This window comes from Homo sapiens, chromosome 7 (genome assembly GCF_000001405.40).
Source record: "Homo sapiens chromosome 7, GRCh38.p14 Primary Assembly".
In the NCBI taxonomy this organism is placed as follows: domain Eukaryota; kingdom Metazoa; phylum Chordata; class Mammalia; order Primates; family Hominidae; genus Homo; species Homo sapiens.
The window spans coordinates 45,768,643-45,788,050 of record NC_000007.14 but is presented as its reverse complement, the minus strand read 5'-3'; the positions used below and the strand labels follow the sequence as shown (position 1 = coordinate 45,788,050).

Below are 19,408 nucleotides of genomic sequence, written 5' to 3'. Positions count from 1 at the left end.
ATGAAAAACTGAAGTTTAACTGGGCGCAGTGGATCACGCCTGTAATCCCAGCACTTTGGGAGGCTGAGGTGGGCGGATCACCTGAGGTCAAAAGTTCTAGACCAGCCTGGCCAACACGGTGAAACCCCGTCTCTACTAAAAATACAAAAATTAGTTGGGCATGATGGTGGACACCTGTAATCCCAGCTACTCGGGAGGCTGAAGCAGGAAAATCGCTTGAACCCGGAAGGCGGACGTTGCAGTTACTTCTAGAAGAATTTCCATTAGCCCTTTGAAATCCTTCAACATTCATGAAGGCCAAAGAGTTTTCACTTAATTTAATCTGATGGGTATGTGACCAGAGTCTTTCTAGGGAATAGAGACTCCCAAACCGTTCAGCTGGGAAGTGAGGAGAGAATTTATTACTTAAAATCAAAGGGAAATGAAAAGAGGCCAACATAGAATGTCATTATTCTTTCTTGGTGGGGAATGGATTCCAGAGTCATTCTGTGACCTTTACATGACCTCCTTATTAGCATCTAAAAGCTTCCAGTGTAGGATGCAGCCAGCTAGGTTCTCTTCTAATGTAATAAAATTTGCTTCAGCAAATCTTATGCAGAGCCATCTCCAGACTCCAGAAATAACAGGCTATAAATTACTGGATCTCCCATTTGATATAATGAAGTATAAGCATGGTCCTGAATGACTCCTCTACATACTACTCTGGGTGGCTTGAAGTGAATTTGATACAAGAACTGGAGCGAGCGCAAAGCAGAGCTAGATCTAGGATTAATGTGCTTGGGCCCAGCTCCTCACTACTCACCTATGAGTCCAGTTCCAGAACCCAAGTAGAGGGTGGGGAAACAAGGCTCCTGACTTTTTTCCCTAATGTCTGCATCTCTTTCACATTTCTTATCTCCTTGCAAAGAAACTAAACAGGCTCAACTGAAATAACTAAATGATTAAACCCTATACAGAGAATCTCCAAAGACTGATAAAATATCATTCAAGACTGTTACACAGACAACCTTGAGGATGACTTGATGTACCAGTGATCTACAATATTTGGGATCATTCCAAATTCCCATCAAGGATCTGCCTATATCAACACAGGAGCCAAGGACCAACCATTCAAATGGGCCCTGCTGCCAAGCGTTTTTTTTGTTTGTTTGTTTGTTTTTTTTTTTTGTTTTTTTTTTTTTACAATGCCATCTCTTCATATTGTTCCATTTAACAAAACTGCAGCCCTTCATCTATCCTTAAGTCCCTTGGCCAATGGTACAGAGCCAGAGTATGCTACTCCCTAGCAGGAAATCAACAGGATGACCTACTAAACACCATTCAGAAGATGCTAAGACCCATGAATTGCAAAAGGAAAGAAAAGACAGAGAATTAGTCAGACAGGTACATGCTGTGCAAAAAATGCACTACAGCCCCCACCCAATTCTGCCTAATCCTAGCTGGGCTGACACCAACCTGATGAGACAGGCCTATAAGATCTCAAACTAAAACAGAAACTCCTGAACTGGGTTCTTTTGAACCCAGGAAGCAGCAGTAAATCATTAAAGAACAGATAGGTTCTTAAGGTGAGGGAGAGTTTCAGATAAATGGAATGCTGGTAGAACACAGGGCCCAAAGGAGCAAAAGTTAACCTAAGCCCAGGTAGAACCTTGTTTACTAGAGTATTAGGCATGGGTTGGGGCAACTATTCTAACCAGAGAAACTGGCTTCAGTGAGGGCAAGTTGGCAATCCAAGGTATAGCATGCATAGGGCTGGCAAAATTCAGGGTGACTGAAGCAAAAGCTTCAGAACCAGAAAGACCACATCTGGGGGTAGAGCACAAAACTCCCAAGAGATGAATCTTTTGTAAGAGTGAGGCAGAACTATATAGCAGTTTTAGGAGATCTGTTGGTGCCCAGCAAGAGCTCCTAACGGGCTATATGCAGGGAGGCAGGCTGTAGTCTCAGGAGAGGAGGTTCACAAAAGTCATTCAGTCCAAGACCTCAAACTGTGTTCTCTACTAAAAGGAATCAAGGTTCCCTAGAGAAATGGCTGACTCCATGTATGGTGCAGTATATTGATCCTGGAACATCTTGTTTGCCAGAAAGCAAGGAAGCCATCAAAGTCCAAAAGACATCACGTCAAAAAGACATGAAAGTCAACTTGAAGAGATAATTATTAACCTGGATGAGACAATGTAAGCATCCAAAACAATAAAGACTGCAATGGCCTGAAATACATCAAATGCAAACAATAATCTGTGAGTTCATAATGGTATTCAGAAAAAAAACTACTGGTCATTAGAGGGAAGGTTACTAGGTCACTAACTTACTACTCTGAAAAGTGACTTAAGATGAGAGGTAGGGTGGAGAATTAGCTATTTATTCAGTTTTTCCTGTACAAACACAAATTTTTAGGGAGATTGAAGCAGATGAAACAAATCTGGAAAAATGGAGGTAACTGCTTAATCTGCGGGTTGGGTGCATGGAGGTTCAACACATTTCTTTTGTGTATATTTGAACCCCTACAAAAAAAGCACAAGACAGAATGTGAGCCAAGCAGCTTAGGGTTTAGGCAAGGCTTCTGCCTACAAGAGACACTAGGATATGAGGGGTAGTTTTAGTCCTGATGGGCTGAGCCAACTGGAGGTATATAGGGAGGTGCTAAATTGCAGAGGTATCATGTTGCCCAGCACTTGATCAAATCCTAGATCCTAGGTCTGCTTGGTAGCATGCTTCCTAGGTAGTAGATCTGAGGCTACCTATAGAACTTCCTTTACAGTCATAATTCGCTCAGAAACTACAAAAGTGCTTGTTCTTGAAAATGGAGTCTGTCTTTGTCCATTTCATGCTTCTATAAAAGAATACCACAGACTGCATAATTTATAAAAAGGAAAAAAGGAAGGAAGGAGGGAAAAAGGGAAGGAGGGAAGGAAAGGAAGGAAGGGAAGGAAGGAAAGGAAGGAAGGGAAAGAGGGAAAGAGGGAAGGAGGAAGGGAGGGAGAGAGGGAGGGAGGGGAAGGGAAGAAAAGGGAGGAGAAGGGAAAGGAGGAAGAAAAGGAAAAAAATAAATTTTATTTCTTAACAGTTCTGGATGTTAGGAAGTCCAAGGTTGAGGGGCCTGCATCTGGTAAGGGTCTTCTTGCTGCATCATCCCACTACAGCAGGCAAAAGGAAAAGAGAGTGCAAGAAAGCAAGAGGGCAAAAGGGGCTGAACTCTGTTTTATAATAAGCCCACTCTATGATTACTAATCTATTACCACAATAACAACATTAACTCATTCATGAAGGCTATTGTATTAGGCCCCACATCCCAACTGTTGCATTGAGGATTGAGTTTCCAGCACATAAACTTTGGGGGACACATTTAAACCATAGCAGAGCACTTATGTTAATTCAACCAAGAGGAGCTGGGAAAATCAAAGGCATGAGAAAGACAGCAAAAGCTAGCAGAGAGAAATGCACAGGTTAAGGAAAAAAGTCACAATGAATCCTGTAGTGCAGGCTACTTTATCAAAAGCACCTAAAAAAGATCTCATTAACTCCCCCAGCTCACCTCCACCCACATCTAAAGAGCCACACACAGTACCACCAAAGGCAGCACAATGAGAACAGCATTCTCCTCAACAGACAAGCTGGGAGTATCTAGACACCTGACCTCAATAGCTCCAGAACAGCCCTAAAACATCTCCTCCCTAACCACCACTCAAGTCATCAGCTTGGAAAGTATTCAGAAAACCCAAATCCTGACACACCACTATGAAACAACTTAAAACAGCAAAGAACAACCCATTTAAACAGCAATGCCAGCTGCTGGGAAAAGAAGGAACAATGAGTAGAGGAGAACCAGATCTCTTGGGGTCCACCAAGACCCAGTCTCTCAGCTTCAGCACTTTCGAATGCAGAATCCATACCCCTCTGGGGCCTGTGGAGCTCCACAAGGCATGTTGTCCTCAAAGATAAATGAGCAGGCAAGCTGGCTAGAAAACCACTAAGGGTATTATTCTTTAAAGAATCTTTATAGGGTCAAAGAGGAATGGGTCTTAACTGGCTATGTGAACTCCCCACAGATTCTGAGGATGATGTCAGTATCCCTTTCCAGATGTGTTTAACACTTTGCAGTCACTTGTATTCCTGCCACTGAGTGCCAGTGCTTTGCTAATTTGAACTGATTCCAGCTCATGCTGACCCCAGCTCCCTGGATGTTACCATTAGCCAAGACTGTCACCCATACTGTACCCTTTCAAAGAGTCCTAAAAACAGCTCTTCGCCTACTCTTCCAAGACAAGTAAAAATGTCTGCCAAAGAAATGGGGAAAAAAGATTCAGAGAGTGAAAACAATTAACATACTAACAAGAGAGCAAAAAGCAAAGGGGGAGGAGAAACTAGGAAGATCATATATGGGCTCACACCTATTTCCAAAGCTGGGCTAATGTCCTTTTGCTTGTGTCTGAATAAGGCACCAATTTTAAGCTGCTAATGAAAAAAAAAGAAAAAGAGAAAGAAGCAGGCCCAGGCTGGGCGCAGTGGCTCATGCCTGTAATCCCAGCACTTTGGGAGGCCGAGGCGGGTGGATCACCCAAGGTCAGGAGTTCTAGACCAGCCTGGTCAACATGGTGAAACACCATCTCTACTAAAAATACAAAAAATTAGCCAGGCATGGTGGCACATGCCTGTAAATCCAGCTACTCAGGAGGCTGAGGCAGGAGAATTGCTTGAACCCAGAAGGCAGAGAATGTGGTGACCTGAGATCACACCATTGCCCTCAAGCCAGGGCAATGAGAACAAAATTTGGTAAAAACAAAACAAAACAAAACCACCATAAAATAACTCAGACTTAATTAAATACAACCCTAGTGGTGAATGACTAAAGATGAATTACTCCTAACAGAGATAACAATCCAATAAGAATCCAAGAATCTTACCTTTTAATAACAAAAAAATCCTTTCCTTCGAAAGTAATATCCTCTCAAGGCCAGGAATTCCATTAGTAGAAAGCCTTCCTAAAAAACAAAATTCCTGGCCAGGCATGGGTTCATGTCTGTAATCTCAGCACTCTGGGAGGCCGAGGCGGGAAGATCACTTGACGTCAGGAGTTCAAGACTGGTCTGGCCAACATGGTGAAACCCCATCTCCACTAAAAATACAAAAATTAGCCTGGTGTGGTGGTGGGCACCTGTAATCCCAGCGACTTGGGAGGCTAAGGCAGGAGAATTTCCTGAACCCAGGAGGCAGAGGTTGCAGTGACCAGCAAGGTTGCACCATTGCACCCCAGCCTGGGCGATAAGAGCGAAAACTCCATCTCAAAAAAAAAAAAAAAAAAAAAAAAAATTCCTTTGGGAAGGCCTTCTACATAAAAATCTTCAACATGAGACTGGAAAAAAGGGTATGGGATCATCACCGGACCTTTGGCTTTTACAGCTCGAGCTATAAGAACAAAAAGAAAAAGGGATATCATTTAAACACAATATGTAGAAAAGAATAATTATTGAATCTGTACTGGTCTTTAACTTTTACACTTTGATCTTTAATTCTGTTATTGTGATTGAGTCCAAAGAAAAATAGTATGAGTAAAATAAAAAGAACACCAAAAATGCTAATATTCTGTTTACTAAAGTCTGTAGTGAAATATCCCATTAAATCCAAGTGCAGTGACTCACACCCATAATCCCAGCACTTTGGGAGGCTGAGGCGGGTGAATCTCCTGAAGTCAGGAGTTCGAGGCCTGCCTGGCCAATATGGTGAAACCCCAACCCTACTACAAATACAAAAATTAGGCAGGCGTGGTGGCAGAGGCCTGTAATCCCAGCTACTTAGGAGGCCGAGGCAGGGAGAATTGCTTGAACTCAGGAGGTGAGCTTGCCATGAGCTGAGATCATACCACTGCGCTCTGGCGTGGGCGACAGAACAAAACTTCAACTTACAAAAAAAAAAAAAAAAAAAAAAAAACAGCTAGCAGGTGACATTTGCTACAGGGAGACTAGGGATATGATCTTGCTGCAATCCTTCCATTTTAGTAAATCTAAACAGTGTGAATCCATTCCGTTTTGTCCCCACTCCAGAGCCAAAACAAGAAAATCAATTATATTTCTATTTCTTTAAAAACATATCTAACTAAATCATCTAATTACAAGATAATATGCATGGTTCCCTACTCTAAAAGAAAACTTATGTCCTGCATATCATGGACATTTGATGAATGCTTATTCAGTTGACTGGTGTAGACTTCAATAATAACCTGTTCAATGCATTATGCCAGATGAATCTTGCATCTCAAAAGTAGAACAAATATTGTTCTTTCAGTTTTGTCTACCCATAAATGCAATATTTACTAATAAAAAGAAAATGAGTTTATTGTTCTAGAGAGTATGAGAATTTTGACAACATGAATTCTCCTGTCCTAGGACATAATTAATACTTAGAGGCATACTATTTCATGTGGAAGCTACCATTAAATCAATGTTAAGTGTTAATTACTTCACATAATCTTCTAATCTGACTTAAGACTGAAGACGTACCTCACGAAGCTGATTTATCAAGTTGTAAATCTTCACCTGTTGAATTCATAAGTTCATGTCTGAAAGGTGAGAATAAATACTTAATATTCACTAGGCAATATTCAGCAAAGTAATATCCACTAGTACATATTTAATATTTCATCATGAACTGTGGGTGTGAAGAGAAAAGACAGGCTGGGCACAGTGGCTCACACCTGTAATCCCAGCAGTTTGGGAGGCCGAGGCAGGCAGATCATGAGGTCGGCAGTTCGAGACCAGCCTGGCCAACATGGTAAAACCCCGTCTGTACTAAAAATACAATAACTAGCTGGGCATGGTGGCAGGCACCTGTAATCCCAGCTACTCGGGAGGCTGAGGCAGAATTGCCTGAACCCAGGAGGTGGAGGCTGCAGAAACCACGATCACGCCACTGCATTCCAGCCTGGGCAAAAGAGCAAGATTCTGTCTCAATCAATCAATCAATAAAAATATAAGGAGGAAGCATTTAGTGTATATTTATATGTCTGGTATTATGTGAAGCACTTTACTATCTTATCAAATCTTTGGGACAGATCTTCAGTTCTCATGACCACAAAAGAGGATACTAAAGCTCAGACAGGACAAGAGACATGGCCAGCCTGTGTCCCCAGGGCCTATGGTCTTACCACTAGGTTACAGTGTTTCCAGGTATCACATGTTGTAAGATTTTTGCTTTAAAATGAACCAAAAAAACCCAAAGGCGAAAAAGGCTTAAGCTATTAAAAAGTGGGAGAAACACTAAGAGAACCTTAAGCATGTAACTAAAAATATTATGAAAATGTTATTGAATTCATTAGCAAATTTAATGCTAGGTTTTCATTGACAAGTAGGTTATATTACTCATGATGAAGAAAAATGTTCATTTTAAGTATATTAACATAAATACCATCAATATGGTTTATCATGTTTAAATGTTCACTTAAAGCAATTCAGTTAAAATTGTGCATATCATACAATTTTATAGTTTGCTAGTAGGTTACAAGTAAATAGTCATCCAAATAAAAACATCATGTGTTTTCCACTGGTTGTTGCTCTTTTTAGGTGAGCATTTGATGTATACCAACAGAGAGAGGATAATAACAAATCACTAATTTCTTTCAACATTATATAAAGGTGGCTTCAGAATAGAATAGTATAAGGGCAATGATGAGTTTGAAATCTAACATCAATTCAGTGATGCATCAAGATAAAAGTAGAGACAATAGGGGCACCTTGGTGAGTACTGAACATTTTATTTATTTATTTATTTTGAGATGGAATTTTGCTCTTTTTGCCCAGGCTAGAGTGCAATGGTGCAACCTCGGCTAACCGCAACCTCTGCCTCCTGGGTTCAAGCGATTCTCCTGCCTTGGCCTCCCAAATAGCTGGGATTACAGACATGCGCCACCACGCCCGTCTAATTTTGTATTTTTAGTAGAGACGGGGTTTCTCCATGTTGGTCAGGCTGGTCTCGAACTCCCAACCTAGATATCTGCCTGCCTTGGCCTCCCAAAGTGCTGGGATTACAGGTGTGAGCCACCGCGCCCAGATGAATTCCAAATTTAACAAAGCAGACTAAGAGAAACAATTCATTTAAAAAAATAATATTTGGCCAGGCATGGCGGCTCACACCTGTAATCCCAGCACTTTGAGAGGCTGAGGTGAGTGGATCAGGAGGTCAGCAGTTCAAGACCAGCCTAGCCAAGATCATGAAACCCCGTCTCTACTAAAAATACAAAAATCAGCCAGGAGTGGTGGCTGGCGCCTGTAATCCCAGCTGCTCGGGAGGCTGAGGCAGAGAACTGCTTGAACCCGGGAGGCGGAGGTTGCAGTGAGCCGAGATCGTGCCACTGCACTCCAGCCTGGGCGACAGAGTGAGTCTCCGTCTCAAAAATAAATAAATAAATAATTCAATGAAATCCCTAAGATCCAGGGCTTTGCAATAAATATGTAAATAAATTTCCAATCTCCATACTGAAAGTTTAAAAGAAATGCTAACTAATAATTAAAGAAATACAACTTTTCCTCAGCTTTGCAGCAATCTAGAAACAAAGTGTGTAGACACTACAAAGCACCTTACAAGGAGAAACGTGTAAGGATGGCATGACTCGCCGGCAGCCCTGGGCTTGTCCACGGTACCCCCATGATGAACAGTAACTCCATTGTGTAAACGCCCATGAACATAAGATTACAGGACTTTTCCAGTTTAGACATACCATACTTTCTTTCAGACAATTCTTCAATTTGTTTACGTAGATCAGCGATACGATTATTCCATTTCTCTGAAAATCAAGCAAAAGTTGATTCTCAATAATACGTCCCTATGTCAGAGCAGCACTAACATATAATGACTTATTTCATATATTTTACATTCTAACAGTCCATATCATTTTACTGCTTTCAAAAAAAGATTTCCCTTTTTTGGTGGTTCTTAGAATTGGTTTAATGAGAGACTATTAGAGAAGCTGAAAAGCAGGAGGGCAGAAAAGTTCAATCAAATTAGACACAATAACAGGGAGGTCACAACGAGGAGGTCTCCAGGAGTCTTTCAGCAAACTTCCTAAAACATGTCTCAGCTGTGTGAAATAAGACTTTACAGCAGCCGGGTGCAGTGGTGCAGGCCTGTAATCCCAGCACTTTGGCAGCAGAGGCAGGCGGATCGCTTTGAGCTCAGGGCAACATAGCCAAAACCCCCTCCCTAGCCCCACCCCCACCCCGTCCCTACCAAAAATACAAAACAGCAGGGCATATAGCCTGTAGCCCCAGCTACTCAAGAGGCTGAGGCAAGAGAATCACTTGAACCCAGGAGGCAGACGTTGCAGTGAGCCAAGACCACGCCACTGCCGGCCTGGATGACAGAGCAAGACTCCACCTCAAAAAAACAAAAACAAACACAAGGTTAAGAGGGACCCCAGACCTTACAGATATAAGTTTAAGAGGGACCCCTAAGCAAAAAATGCCAACCCTTTTTCTCCCAATCATTGAAACACCAGGAGGGTGTAATAGTTTTGCAGCCTAGCTGTAGCAGGCTGATGTCCCCAAGATGCCCATATCCTAATCCCGGGAACTGGTGAACATGACCTTATATGGCAAAAGGGGCTTTGCAGATATAATGAAGTTAAGGGTCTTTGGCTGTTGGGGTTGATGTACTCACCCAGATCCTTATAAGAGCAGAGCAGGTGATGGAGAGGGTGGGAGGTGTAGTGACAGAAGCAGGAAACTCCAGTCATTCGAGACGGGCAGCACAAGCTGAGGAGTGCAGGCCACCTCCACGGCCAGGAAACAGATTCTCCCACAGAGCCTCAGAAGCCACCGACCCTGCTCCCACCTTGACTCAGTAGGACTTACTGTAGAATTCTGGCCTTCAGACCTGTAAGGGAATACATTTTGGTTGTTTTAAGTTACTAAGTGTGTGGTAATTTGTTGCAGCAGCCACAGGAAACTAGTATTGTAGTGAAGCCTCAAAACCCCCTGAAGGGGCTGGGCTCAGTGGCTCATGCCTGTAATCCCAGCACTTTGGGAGGCCGAAGTTGGTGGATCACTTGAGGTCAGGAGTTCGAGACCAGCCTGGCCAACATGGCGAAATGCCATCTATACAAAAAATAGCCGGGCATGGTGGCACATGCCTGTAATCTCAGCTACTCAGGAGGCTGAGACAGGAGAATTGTTTGAACTCAGGGGGGCGGAGGTTGCAGTGAACTGAGATTCCACTACTGCACTCCAGCCTGGGTGACAGAGCGGTGCTCCATCTCGAAAACAAAACAAAACAAAAAAACCCCACCTGAAGGTTTCCAGTTCTGCCAGCAGTCTCCCACCCAACCCCTAGAAGCAGACATTCCATTGCTGTGGGCCATGGACAGGCAGAAGGAAGCGCCTCCTCATGGCAGAGGCCTACCCAGGAGAAACCCAAGGGAAGGCACTGCCGGGCTGGCCCCTCTCTGCCAAGGCCATATTCTTTTTTTTTTTTTTTTTTTTTTGAGGCCTAGTTTCACTCTGTCTCCCAGACTGGAGTGCAGGGACACAATCTCGGCTCACTTCGACCTCCGCCTCCCCAGTTCAAGTGATTCTCCTGCCTCAGCCTCCTGAGTAGCTGGGATTACAGGAGTGTAGCATGCCTAGCTAATTTTTGTATTTCTAGTAGAGATGGGGTTTTGCCATGTTGCCCAGGCTGGACTCGAACTCCTTGCCTCAAGTAGTCCACCTGTCTCAGCCCCCCAAAGTGCTGGGATTACAGGAGTGAGCCACTGCACCCAGCATTTGCCAAGACCTTTGATGGCAGGCTTTTTCCAGGTGATCAGTCCTTGTCTGGTCTGGCTCTGCCCCACTCTCCTTCTCACCTAGTTGGAATCCCTAGCTACTTTTCAGCAGAGGAGAGTGTGTACCCCAGTCCCAGCTTGGTTCAGATCTGCATTTAACTCATGGAACCTGGCTGCTCCCCAGGTCCTGAAGAAAAAAAGGGGTCTCTCTGTGGGTATGATAAAGGATGGGCCTGTCCCCAGGACCCTGTGAGAGGGAAGCCCAATGTCCCACCAGGTTGGCAGGGCTGGGGAAGGGAGTGTTATGGTAGCCCCAAGAAAAAAAAAGGGCAGCAGAGGGAGCAGGACAGTGCTCACATGGAACTCTTGCCACTGCCTGAGTGAGGGGAGGGAGGAGTGCACGCCAGCGACGTCAGGGGGCAGAGAGGCGCAGTTCCAGGGCGGCTTTCCCCCTCACTTCCTGCCATGTTGCTCTGATCGCCTCCAGGTGAGCCTGCCCACTTTGTGCCCAGGAGCCTGTAGAAAACCACAGCTCCCCATGGTTATGGCCCCAGGAGTGGGGCAGAGCAGGGAGGAGTCCTGGACAGAGGAGAGGCAGGGGCAGGAGGGAGTGGGCCTCAAACTCCAGGAGTGGGCCCTTCTCATGGGTCCTGCTTTCTGGCTTCTCCTTCCTTACCCCTGGGCTGATCACTCGGGGAAGAACTGAGACAAAGTTTCTCACCCTCAGGCCCAAGGGGTTTAATTACTGGCCCCTTAGGGAGGTGTGAGCCCCCTGAAAGGATGCAAGGCTTTGTTTTGTTTTGTTTTTTGAGACAGAGTTTCGCTCCTGTCGCCCAGGCTGGAGTGCAGTGGCGTGATCTCACCACACTACAACCTGCGCCTCCCGGGTTCAAGTGATTCTCCTGCCTCAGCCTCCGGAGTAGCTGGGATTACAGGTGGCTGCCACCACACCTGGCTAATTTTTTGTATTTTTAGTAGAGACAGGGTTTCGTCATGTTGGGCAGGCTGGTCTTGAACTCCTGACCTCAGGTGATCCGAATGGCTCTGCCTCCCAAAGTTCTGGGATTACATGAGCCACTGTGCTTGGCCACAATGAAAGGTTTTGTGTGGAGAGCACATACATGCCTTTCTGGGAAAACAGTCCACAGCTCTTATTCTCAGCAGACTTCACGGTCAAAAAAGTTTAGAACTCTTGCTACAGAGCTGTGGAAGCAGCTAGGTGAGGGGCCTGCCAAGGGCACTCTGGGCACTACCTGGGCACTCTCGAGCCCATCATCCCCTAGGCAGGCTGCGCTGCTTGGTATTTGCAGAGCTGAGGGGGTGGGGCATGTGGGGACTGTGAAATCGCCCTGAGATGACCCACAGTCCTCAGCTGGGAAGTGAGCGGTGCATCTCCTGCAGTGTCCTCCATCCCTAGAGCCATGGGGCCAGGAGAACCGGCCCTTGCAGCAAGTGAAAAGCCTATTATTGACTCCCTCCCTAGCCATGTAGACAATGAACCAAGACACTCATATCAGGTAAATGCCTTGGTCTCTGTCACCGAGGTGACCAGTAGGCATTCCCAGATACAGTGAAGGTCCTCACACCAAGATATGCACCTGGCCACCTGAGGAAAGAGAGAGGACTATCTGAGGGGATGGGGCTGAGCTGGGTGTGGAGTGGTCCTTGTGGGTCTTGGTGAGTGGGAAGGGGAGCAGCATGAGCCAGGCCTCAAGGCAGAAGGACAACCAGGAGACAGCCTGGAAAAAGTGCTGGACCCACAACGGCTCGAGGCTGGCCAGAGGGGAGGTGGGATAGGCTGCAAAGTCCTGAGGTCTGAAGATTGGCCCTGGCAGGAAGAAACCAGGTAAGGTGGGGTGTTACCTACACCCTCGGGGCTAGATGCAGGCCAGAGCCAGCCAATTACCAGGCCCTTAGGGAGGTGTGAGCCCCTTGAAATGATGCAAGGTTTTTTGTTTTTGTTTTGGAGACGGAGTTTCGCTCTTGTCGCACAGGCTGGCACCTTTGCCCAGAGCAGGCACCAAGATTTCTGGCTCTGGGTGTGACCTCAGTCTGGGGAAAAGCCCCAGCCCCCACCAGGACCACCTACCCCCTAGACTACTTCAGGTGCTGAGCCCAAGCCAGGGACAGGAAGCTAAACTGATGCCTAGGGTAATCCCAACAAAGTCCCTGGTTCCCCGCAGCTATGGGGCTGACGGGGAATTACAGCCCAAACCCCAGATGCTGGCTCTCAAACTAACACTGAGCCCTCAGTGCCCACAGGGAGATACAATCAGTGCACTTTCCAGATGGGGAAATGGGCTCAGAGAAGTGCAACAGCCTTGCCCAATGCCCCAGACCACGGCTCCAGGCCCAGAGTGTTCTTTTGTCACTGTGTCCAGAGGGCAGCAGCTGCTGTGATGTACCCACCTGAGCCTGGCAGCTTTCTCCAACTTTGGAAGCCCAGGAGCATGGCCCCTGTCCACAGATGCACCTGGCATGAAGCGTGCCCAGAGGGACAGAGGCAGATGAGTTTCGTCTCCTCCACTGGATTGTGAGGGCCTAGAAGGAGACAAGGGTCTGCTTGAGAAGGCAGTGAATAGTGAGCAACCTGAGGCAGTGCCCCTCTGGATGGATGCGCAGTGCCTGGATGGAAACTGGCTCAGACAGAGCTCAGTTCTGCAGGTCCCTGAGGCATGGAGAGTTCACAGCTACCAAGTGTAGGAGTCTGGATTCAAAGCCAACGGCGTGACTCCAAAGTCCCTGCCCTAGCCCCTGGACCACCTTGCAGGCCCATCAGATGCCTTGGCCAGCAGCACAGCCGGCCAAGACCAGGGAAACTTCAGAGCACCCCCAGGTATTCCAGAGCCTCAGAGCACCCCCAGGTATTCCAACCTAATCCTGGTACCCCTGCCTCTCACCACCCTTCTTCCTGCTTTAACCTCAACCCCTACACAAAGCCTGGGCCACTTAATGTGGCATCAAACAGATGCCTCAATAAATCAGAGTGTAATCTTGAAAAAAAAATAAGACTTAACAGATACACAATTGCATGTTAGAATGCTAAAGACCATAAACATATAACAACTTAAAGTACATATAAATTCAATATATATCCAATCGTTGTGACTATGACACAGTAGAATATTAAAATACTATTTTCAAAATGTATACAAGCTTAATGTTCTATGTATTCAAACTATTTATTCAAAATACAAATCATCAACATAATTTGCCACTAATATTCAGTCCCTTCACAGGACACGATTCACTGGGAGTTAATAAATTAGCAGCCGGCAGGCAGTGACGCACAGCAAAAATGAAAACCAAGAGGTGAAATAGTTCTGAAATAAAGGTTTTAAAGCTAACAGAAATCACTGAATTACTAAGTCATTAGCACTAATTTTGAGCCGACTAACTAATTAATACGAGATGATACAATGTCCTATACTTTGGTAAATACAGACTATGTTTAAACAATGTCTGTAACGTGACTTTCAAAATGCTCCTGGCTTTACAAAGATGTGATTAAGACGTAGTAATACATGCTAAACCATTTCCCCCTGCAGAGCATGTGGTAACTTTCATCAGTCACACTGAGAGTCCAGAAGATAAAGGAAAAGGTCATGGATTTTGCTAAGAACTTACCAGAGTTGAACTCCCTCATTTTCCGTTCCCCAGCATTGGCGGGTTCTGGGACTGGTGGCTGTGGTGGCTCGTTGGTCTTTGTCTCTCAGAAGGTGGGGAATAATCATCATCTTGAAAAAGAAAAAATGGTCATTACTGAAGGAACCATCTTAGGTTACAGCCACCTCTGGGTCAATTCCCAACATTGAAAAGCTGAGCAGGGCTTTAAAGCTATCTTATTAATAATTATTTCTGTATTGCGAACTTCAGCATACTTTTTTCTAGTTACATTTGAAATGTTATTCTTTTGGGATGTGCTCAAGTGAATACTGCTTTTTCCTCTGTCTTGCTTTATTACTTTTTAGTTTGCTTCATTTGAATCATCATTTTAAGTCTCCCCTTCTCCTCAAATAACTTTCAAATTGCTGCCAAGAACTACGTTCTATTTTAAGGCTTTTGAGAAAAAACTTTCAATGAAGATAGCCACCTAAAGTTATACAAATATAGAAGAAACGGGATAAAATAAAGCTTAGATTGGAAAAAATATTTAAGATTATACAAAATTCAAGCATAAACAAGGGAAGCTGAGTAATTGTATGTTCAAATACTTTTAACAAGTGCAAAACATGTAGTCTTAAAGAAATAGAGCTGGCCAGGCATGGTGGTTCACGCCTGTAACTCCAACACTTTGGGAGGCCGAGGCAGGCAGATAACTTGAGGTCAGGAATTCGAGACCAGCCTGGCCAACATAGTGAAACCCCCTCTCTACTAAAAATACAAAAATTAGGCCAGGAGCGATGGCTCATGCCTGTGATCCCAGCACTTTGAGAGGCCGAGGCGGGTAGATCACCTGAGGTCAGGAATTTGAGACCAGCCTAACCAACATAGAGAAACCCCATCTCTACTAAAAATACAACATTAGCCGGGTGTGGTGGCACATGCCTGTAATCCCAGCTACTTGGGAGGCTGAGGCAGGAGAATCCCTTGAACCCGAAAGGCAAAGATTGTGGTGAGCCGAGATTGTGCCATTGCACTCCAGCCTGGGCAACAACAGCGAAACTCCATCTCAAAAACAAAAAAGAAAAAATTAGCCAGGCGTGGTGGCACATGCCTGTAATCCCAGCTACTTGGGAGGCTGAGGCAGGAGAATCGCTTGAACCCAGGAGGCTGAAGTTGCAGTGAGCCGAGACTGCACCATTGCACTCCAGCCTGGGTAACAGAGCAAGACCCTGTCTCAAAAAAAAAAAAAAAAAAAAAGAGAGAGAGAGAAAGAAAGAAAGAGGGCTACATTATTTATGAAACAGATACTGTTAACTCAGTCACCAGAAAGCCTGTGTATAAATGAGCAGTGAGATATCCAAGCACAGCACACACACACTTCTCAGGACAGCTGTCGTGAGAGTCCATGCTCGTTTCCTTCTGGATACATCAGCAACTCACTCTGCTATGATCCTGCAATACATCTCATGTTAGAATTAGAGACATCTGGGCCAGGCACAGTGGCTGACGCCTGTAATCCTAACACTTTGGGAAGCCGAGGCAGGCAGATCACCTAAGGTCAGGAGTTCGAGACCAGCCTGGCCAACATGGTGAAACGCTGTCTCTACCAAAAATACAAAAAATTAGCTGGGCATGGTGGCGCACGCCTGTAATCCCAGCTACTCGGGAACCTGAGGCAGGAGAATCGCTTGAACCCAGGAGGTGGAGGTTGCAGTGAGCCGAGATCGTGCCACTGCATTCTGCCATGGGTGACAGAGCCAGGCTCTGTCAAAAAAAAAAAAAAAAAAAAAAAAACAGAAAAAGAAAAAGAAAAAGAAAAAAGAATTAGAGACATCTGGATCAAATCAGCTGCCAGTCTCGCAAAGTGTCGGGTTAACATCCTATTAAGATTGCTGCTTACACATCATCTATAAAATACTGAAAATATCATTTTAAGAAATCTTTTTTTTACTTGGAGACAGAGTTTTGCTCTTGTTGCCCAGGCTGGAGTGCAATGGTGCGATCTCAGCTCACTGCAACCTCTGCCCCCTGGGTTCAAGCAATTCTCCTTCCTCAGCCTCCTGAGTAGCTGGGATTACAGGCATGCACCACCACGCCTGGCTAATTTTGTATTTTCAGTAGAGACAGGGTTTCTCCATATTGGTCAGGCTGGTCTCTAACTCCTGACCTCAGGTGATCCACTGACCTTGGCCTCCCAAAGTGCTGGGATTACAGGTGTGAGCCACCATGCCTAGCCAAGAAACCCTTATTTGAAAACAAGCCAGGTGCGGTGGCTCATGCCTATAATCCCAGCACTTTGGGAAGCCAAGGTGGGTGGATCACTTGACGTCAGTAGTTTGAGACCAGCCTGGGCAACATGTTGTAACCCCATCTCTACTAAAAATATATTTAAAAAATTAGCTGGGTGTGGTGGTGGGCACCTGTAATCCCAGCTTCTCAGGAGGCTGAGGCAGGAGAATCACTTGAACCTGGGAGGTGGAGGTTGCAGTGAGCGGAGATCATGCCACTGCACTCCAGCCTGGGTGACAATAGAAATACTCCATCTCAAAAACAAAACAAAACAAAACAAAACAAAAAACCACTAAAAAAAAGACTCCATTTCAAAAACAAAACTAAAATCAAAAACACAACACAAATGTAGTATACAAATGAAAATAATTACTGTGTTAAACACAGTTTCATAGAAAATAAAAGACCAATCAAATACAATAAGCTGCCTTTTTAGATGGGTATGTTATTCTTCTTTTACAGCTAAAGAAACAGGCTCAGAGAATGTTATTTGATTGGACCGTGTTGCATCTCTGGACAGTGCAGCTGAAATCAGACTGTGTGTGTAACTCCACTAGCCTACCAGGGTGCCTCTCATAAAGTTAGTAAGAAATGTAAATTTGGCCTAATATACAAAGTTGCCAGGGCAGCACTGGGTCAATTCTACATACAATACTTCTATGTTCATCAAGGGAAACCTTAAGGGAAAGTGAAAATGCTTTTAGAAGGCGACTGGACACCAGCGCCTTTGCTTGTTGCCTTTGGGCTCTTCTTCTAAGGCCAACAGTGACCTGAAATTATTGACTGACTTTTCCAATCAGGTGGACAAAATGGTACCAAGGTCGCCAACATCAGACAAATTCACTTGAGGGCCTTATCTGTGTGCTTTGAAAGACAAAACTGCTTTTGTAAAGGATACTTTACAAAAACATAATCACATTAATAACTAGTAACACTGTAAAATGCTGACGTGTTGAATGCTACTTTAGAAAAACATGTTCAAATTTAGGGAAAAAATTTGATACAAAACTACCTATCAATTATCTAGCTAGCTAGCTAGCTATCTCGAGACATGCTTTCATTCTATTGCTCAGGATGGGAAGCAGTGGGATTACCATAGCTCACTGCAGCCTTGAGCTCCTGGCCTCAAGTGATCCTCCTGCCTCAGCCTCCTAACTAGCTAGGGCCACAGGTGGACACAGTTACGCCTGGGTTTTTGTTTGTTTGTTTTGTAGAGACAGGGTTTCACTACATTGCCCAGGCTGGTGTCAAACTTTGGAGTCTCGCTGTGTCGCCCAGGCTGGGGTGCAGTGGTGCGATCTCGGCCCAATGCAACCTCCGCCTCCCCAGTTCAAGTAATTCTCCTTTACCAGCCTCCCAAGTAGCTGGGACTACAGGCATGCGCCACCACGCCCGGCTAATTTTTGTATTTTTTGTAGAGACTGGGTTTCACCATGGCCAGGCTGGTCTCCAACTCCTGACCTCAGGTGATCCACCCACCTCGGCCTCCCAAAGTGTTGGGATTACAGGCGTCAGCCACTGAGCCTGGCGGAGCACTTTCTTATGTTATTAAGTAGCCTAACCCAGGTGGGGCGCGGTCCCTCATGCCTGTAATCCCGACAACTCTGATGGCCAAGGTGAGAAGATCGCTTCAACTCAGGAGTTCGAAACTGGCCCGGGCAACATAGCGAGGCCCTCCCCCTATCTCTAGAAAAAAATACGAAAATTAGGCCAGGTGCGCACCGCGCCCGGCTAATTTTTGTATCTTTTGTAGAGACGGGGTTTCGTCATGTTGCCCAAGCTGGTCTCGAACTCCTGAGCCCAAGCCATCCATCCTCCCGCCTCGGCCTCCCAAAGTGCTGGGATTACAGTAGGGCCCAGCCAGCCTCATGTTTTATTTAGTAGTCCCTCCCTGTTGCACACTTGGATAGATTTTTAATTTTTTTAGACAGGGTTTACCTCAATCTCGCAGGCTGGAATGCTGTGGTGGGATCATAGCTCACTGGAGCCTTGAACCTTTGGGTTCAAGTAGCTGGGGGTCTGAGGTAGGACTACAGAGATGGGGTTGCGCCATGTTGCTAGGCTGCTCTTGGCCTGAAGGGTCCTCCCGCCTCGGCCACGCCAGACATAGTTTTCTATTTTTGACCAACATAAACACTGTGCTGGGTCTGAATTTTTCAGCTACCCTTCTTCAGCCGGCAACACACAGGACCTGGCGGGGAGGTCACTGTTATTAGTCCCCACTCTGATGAGAAGACTGCCCAGCTCCAGGTACTGTAGCGCCCCAGTGACGTAGGCGAACACCCGCTCCTGTGGCGTCGCGGAAGGCCCACCTCTATGGTGTCGGCGAAGACGCGCCCTTGTGACGTCACGGAAGGCGCGCTCTTGTGACTTCGCAGGAGACCGCCACTCACGCGGAGCCAATCGGAACTCGCGGCGGGGTTGCTGGGTCTTCCAGGATCGCGCATTAGCGGACGCTGGCTACGGGTGGCCGGGCGGGATGTAACCGGCTGCTGAGCTGGCAGTTCTGTGTCCCCAGGCTTCGGCCCGGCCGCCGCCGCACATAAACTGCGAGGAGGAGCTTTACGACTTCTCGGTCTTCGGGGCCGGGCGCAGCAAGGGCCAGACTCTGCGCTAGCAGGCGCTGCGCGCCAACCGGCCGGCCCCTGTCGCAGAAGGTGCAACCGATCGCACTGTCGCGCAGAAGCTCCTCAATGGCCAGCGCCAGCTGCAGCCCCGGCTGCCCACTCGCCTCACCTGAGCCTGGGTACGTGCGCCCCACAA

At 45.9% G+C, this 19,408-nt stretch overlaps 2 pseudogenes across 9 annotated transcripts in view, besides 2 other annotated features; one reads left to right on the top strand and one right to left on the bottom strand.

The window, feature by feature from the left end:
- GTF2IP13 (general transcription factor IIi pseudogene 13) overlaps window positions 1–18,913 on the bottom strand; it is a 36,002-nt pseudogene extending 17,089 nt beyond the window's left edge. For 6 of the 8 annotated variants that reach the window (XR_007060308.1, XR_242174.5, XR_007060307.1 and 3 more), the window contains exons 1-7: window positions 18,584–18,913; window positions 14,378–14,487; window positions 13,160–13,291; window positions 9,649–9,864; window positions 8,711–8,776; window positions 6,498–6,556; window positions 4,905–5,406 (exon numbers count right to left, since the gene is read on the bottom strand). The product of XR_007060308.1 is annotated as a general transcription factor IIi pseudogene 13, transcript variant X6 (transcript). The other 2 variants (XR_001745191.2, XR_007060309.1) reach the window with 2 other exon arrangements.
- Window positions 18,424–19,201: an enhancer, noted in NCBI's record as "H3K27ac-H3K4me1 hESC enhancer chr7:45808449-45809226 (GRCh37/hg19 assembly coordinates)". NCBI's record gives its function as "activates a minimal SCP1, AML or CMV promoter by ChIP-STARR-seq in naive and primed H9 embryonic stem cells {active_cell/tissue: H9 hESC(naive and primed)}" and the evidence as "EXISTENCE:reporter gene assay evidence [ECO:0000049][PMID:30033119]".
- Window positions 18,743–19,102: an enhancer, noted in NCBI's record as "active region_25972". NCBI's record gives its function as "activates an Ori minimal core promoter by ATAC-STARR-seq in GM12878 lymphoblastoid cells {active_cell/tissue: GM12878}" and the evidence as "EXISTENCE:reporter gene assay evidence [ECO:0000049][PMID:35858748]".
- The window catches only part of SEPTIN7P2 (septin 7 pseudogene 2), a 45,232-nt pseudogene continuing 44,856 nt past the window's right edge, over window positions 19,033–19,408 (top strand). The window contains exon 1 of the transcript NR_024271.1: window positions 19,033–19,391. The product of NR_024271.1 is annotated as a septin 7 pseudogene 2 (transcript). The remainder of the gene's footprint in view (window positions 19,392–19,408) is intronic.